At 46.3% G+C, this 4,763-nt stretch overlaps 1 annotated feature.

Annotated features, from left to right (window-relative positions):
* Positions 2,443–3,423: an enhancer, noted in NCBI's record as "NANOG-H3K27ac hESC enhancer chrX:73787669-73788649 (GRCh37/hg19 assembly coordinates)". NCBI's record gives its function as "activates a minimal SCP1, AML or CMV promoter by ChIP-STARR-seq in naive H9 embryonic stem cells {active_cell/tissue: H9 hESC(naive)}" and the evidence as "EXISTENCE:reporter gene assay evidence [ECO:0000049][PMID:30033119]".

The following is a 4,763-nucleotide window of genomic DNA, read 5'->3' as shown; positions in this document are numbered from 1 at the left end:
AGTGCTGGGATTACAGGCGTGAGCCACCACGCTGGACTGAAATAATTATAAATTCACAGGAATTTGGAGAGATAGTAGAAAGGTACTGTATGCCCTCCACCCAGTTTCCCCCAATGGCTACATCTTATGTAACTATAATACAATATCATAACCAGGAAATTGATATTGGTACAATGTGTGTGTGGTAGTTCTATGCTGTTTTATCGTGTTTAAATCCTTACAGCCACCGTAGCTATGAAGATGCAGAACTATTCCATCATCCTCAAAGATCTCCCTCACCTACCAATTTATATTCATACTCATACCTGCTTCACCCCCACCACTTCCCAACCCCTGGCAATCACAAATTCCTCCATCTCTATCATTTTGTCATTCTGAGAATGTTATATAAAAGGAATCATACACTCTGTGACTTGTTAAGACTGGCTTTTTGTCATTAGCCTAATGCCCTTGAGACCCATCCAAGTTGTTGCATGTATCAATAGTCTGTTCCTTTTTAAAGCTGAGTAGTGTTTCATTGTGTGTATGTACCACAATATTTAACCATTCACCTATTACAGGACTTTATGGTTGCTTCCAGATTTTTGATATTACAAATAATTCCATGAATAATCATGTAGAGGTTTTGTGTGGACATATGTTTTTACTCCTCAGAGATAAATGCCCAGGAGTACAGTTTTGGGTTGTGTGGTAATACATAATTACCTTTTTAAAAGCCTGTCAAACTATTTTCTACAGTGGCTGTAACATTTTACATTCCCACAGCAATGTATGAAAGAGACAATTTCTCCATGATCTCACCAGCATTTGGTATTATTTGGTAATATTTTATAACCATTATTTAGCTATTCTAATGAATGTGTAGTAACCTTCATTTGCATTTCCCTAATGCAAGTAATGTTGAACTTTTTCTTTTCTTTTTTCTTTCTTTTTTTTCTGTTCTTTTCTTTTCCTGTTCTTTTCTTTTCTTTTATTGAGACAGGGTCTCACTCTATCCATCACCCAGGCTGGAGTGCAGTGGCACGATTATGGATCACTGCAGCCTTGAGTTCCCAGGCTCAAGTGATCCTCTTGGGAGGGGGTTTCACCTTGTTGCCCAGGCTGGTCTTGAATTCCCGGGCTCAAACAATCCTCCCACCTCAGCTTCCCAAAGTGCTGGTATTACAGGTGTGAGCCACTGTGCCCAGCCTTGAACATCTTTTCATGTGATTATGTGCCATACATATATTGTCTTTAATGAAATGTCTCTTTATGTCTTTTGCCCACTTTTAAATTGGGTTATTTGAGGTTTTTCCATTTTTTTTTAATATTCTGGATATGAGTTTTTTGTTAGGTATGTGATTTGCAAATATTTTCTCCAAGTGTAGCTTGTCTTTTTATCATCTTAACAAATTGCGCCCCCTCCCCGTCCCCCTCTCCCTCTCCCTCTCCCCACGGTCTCCCTCTCTTTCCACGGTCTCCCTCTGATGCCGAGCGGAAGCTGGACTGTACTGCCGCCATCTCGGCTCACTGCAATCTCCCTGCCTGATTCTCCTGCCTCAGCCTGCCGAGTGTCTGCGATTGCAGGCGCGCGCCACCACGCCTGACTGGTTTTCGTATTTTTTTGGTGGAGATGGGGTTTTGCTGTGTTGGCAGGGCTGGTCTCCAGCTCCTAACCGCGAGTGATCCGCCAGCCTCGGCCTCCCGAGGTGCCGGGATTGCAGACGGAGTCTCGTTCACTCAGTGCTCAATGGTGCCCAGGCTGGAGTGCAGTGGCGTGATCTCGGCTCGCTACAACCTCTACCTCCCAGCCGCCTGCCTTGGCCTCCCAAAGTGCCGAGATTGCAGCCTCTGCCTGGCCGCCACCCCGTCTGGGAAGTGAGGAGCGTCTCTGCCCGGCCGCCCATCGTCTGGGAAGTGAGGAGCCCCTCTGCCTGGCTGCCCAGTCTGGAAAGTGAGGAGCGTCTCTGCCCGGCTGCCAGCCCATCTAGGAAGTGAGGAGCGCCTCTTCCCGGCCGCCATCCCATCTAGGAAGTGAGGAGCGTCTCTGCCCGGCCGCCCATCGTCTGAGATGTGGGGAGCGCCTCTGCCCCGCCGCCCCGTCTGGGATGCGAGGAGCGCCTCTGCCTGGCTGCCCCATCTGAGAAGTGAGGAGACCCTCTGCCTGGCAACCGCCCCGTCTGAGAAGTGAGGAGCCCCTCCACCCAGCAGCCGCCCCGTCTGAGAAGTGAGGAGCGTCTCCACCCGGCTGCCCTATCTGAGAAGTGAGGAGACCCTCTGCCTGGCAACCGCCCCGTCTGAGAAGTGAGGAGCCCCTCCACCCAGCAGCCGCCCCGTCTGAGAAGTGAGGAGCGTCTCCACCCGGCTGCCCTATCTGAGAAGTGAGGAGACCCTCTGCCTGGCAACCGCCCCGTCTGAGAAGTGAGGAGCCCCTCCGCCCAGCAGCCACCCCGTCTGGGAAGTGAGGATCGTCTCTGCCCGGCAGCCACCCCGTCCGGGAGGGAGGTGGGGGTCAGCCCCCGCCAGGCCAGCCGCCCCGTCCGGGAGGGAGGTGAGGGGGTCAGCCCCCCGCCCGGCCAGCCGCCCGGTCCGGGAGAGAGGTGGGGGGGTCAGCCCCCCTCCCGGCCAGCCGCCCCGTCCGGGAGGTGAGGGGCGCCTCTGCCTGGCCGCCCCTACTGGGAAGTGAGGAGCTCCTCTGCCCGGCCAGCCGCCCCGTCCGGGAGGGAGGTGGGGGGGGTCAGCCCCTCGCCCGGCCAGCCACCCCGTCCGGGAGGTGAGGGGCGCCTCTGCCCGGCCGCCACTACTGGGAAGTGAGGAGCCCCTCTGCCCGGCCACCACCCCGTCTGGGAGGTGTACCCAACAGCTCATTGAGAACGGGCCATGATGACAGTGGCAGTTTTGTGGAATAGAAAGGGGGGAAAGGTGGGGAAAAGATTGAGAAATGGGATGGTTGCCGGGTCTGTGTAGAAAGAAGTAGACATGGGAGACTTTTCATTTTGTTCTGTACTAAGAAAAATTCTTCTGCCTTGGGATCCTGTTGATCTGTGACCTTACCCCCAACCCTGTGCTCTCTGAAACATGTGCTGTGTCCACTCAGGGTTAAATGGATTAAGGGCGGTGCAAGATGTGCTTTGTTAAACAGATGCTTGAAGGCAGCACGCTCGTTAAGAGTCATCACCACTCCCTAATCTCAAGTACCCAGGGACACAAACACTGCGGAAGGCCTCAGGGTCCTCTGCCTAGGAAAACCAGAGACCTTTGTTCACTTGTTTATCTGCTGACCTTCCCTCCACTATTGTCCTATGACCCTGCCAAATCCCCCTCTGCGAGAAACACCCAAGAATGATCAATAAAAAAAATAAAAATAAAAATAAAAATAAAAAAAATAAAAAAAATAAAAAAAAAAACAAAAAAAAAAAACAAATTGCTTTGCAAAACAAAAGTTTTTACTTTTGGTGAAGTCCAGTTTATTATTTTTACTGTGAATTGTGCTTTTGGTGTCATGTCTAAGAAACTCTGCTCCAAGCTCTAGGTCCTGAAGATTTTCTCCTGTTTTCTTTTAAAAGTGTTGTAGTTTTACATTTTACATTTAAGTCTATGATCCATTTTGAATTTATTTTTGTGTCTTTTTGCCTATGGATAGCCAATTACTCCAGCACCATTTGTTGAAAAGTTTATCATTTCTCAATCAAATTGATTTTGCACATTTGTGAAACATCAGTTGGTCATAATTGTGTGCCATACTATGTCAAGCTTCTCTATTCTATTCCATTGTTCTATATATCTATTCCTCTACTAATACCACACAGTCTTAATTACTATAACAATAATAATTCTTAAAATCAGATGGAGCTGGGCACAGTGTTGAATGCCTGTGATCCCAGCTATTTGGGAGGCTGAGGCAAGAGGATCCCTTGAGCCCAGGAGTTCAAGGCCAACCTGGGCAACATGGCAAGACTTTGTCTCTAAAAAGAAAAAAAAAATCAGATGGATTGATTCCTCCCACTTTATTCTTCTGCAAAATCAATGTAACTATTCTAGTATTGTTACCTTTCCATATAAATTTTAGAATAATCTCATTTATGCTTACCAAAAAAATATAATGCTAGTATTTTGATAGCGTATGTCAGTTTTTTCCAAATTGATATCTTTGTTGAGTCTTCCAGTCTATGAACACAGAATATCTTTCCAGTTATTTATGTCTTCCTTGATTTCTTTCATCAGTATTTTGAAATTTTCAGCAGAGATCCACTGTACATTTTGTTAAGTGTGCATCTAAGTATTTCATTTTCGTTGTAGTGATTAGAAATGCTGTTGCATTTTCAACTTCAGTTTCTGCATATTCATTGATAGTTTATAGAAATATGATTGATTTTTGTATGTTGGTGTGTTGATATTGTATACTGAGGCTGAACTTATTAGTTCTGTAAGGTTTTGTTATATTTCTGGGCATTTTCTATATAGACCATCATGTCACTGCCAAATAGTTTTATTTACTCCTTTCCAATCTATATACAACTTATTTATATTCCTTGCCTTCTTGTTTTGGCTAGAACTTCCAATACTGTGTAAATAAGAGTGGTGAGAGTGGATTTGTATTTGTAGATGCTCTTTATCATGTTGAAGTAGTCCCCCTTCATTCCTAACTTGCTGCAAGTTGTTTGGTTGTTGTTTTTTTTAAATCATGAATAGGTGTTGGATTTGGTCAAATGCTTCTTCTGCACCAATTGGTAGGATCATATAATTGAAAAAAGATCATAGGATTCTTAATTTGTTGATATGGC

Source organism: Homo sapiens, chromosome X, assembly GCF_000001405.40.
Source record: "Homo sapiens chromosome X, GRCh38.p14 Primary Assembly".
In the NCBI taxonomy this organism is placed as follows: domain Eukaryota; kingdom Metazoa; phylum Chordata; class Mammalia; order Primates; family Hominidae; genus Homo; species Homo sapiens.
Note: the sequence above shows the minus strand (reverse complement) of the source record. Positions and strands in the feature narration are given on the sequence as shown.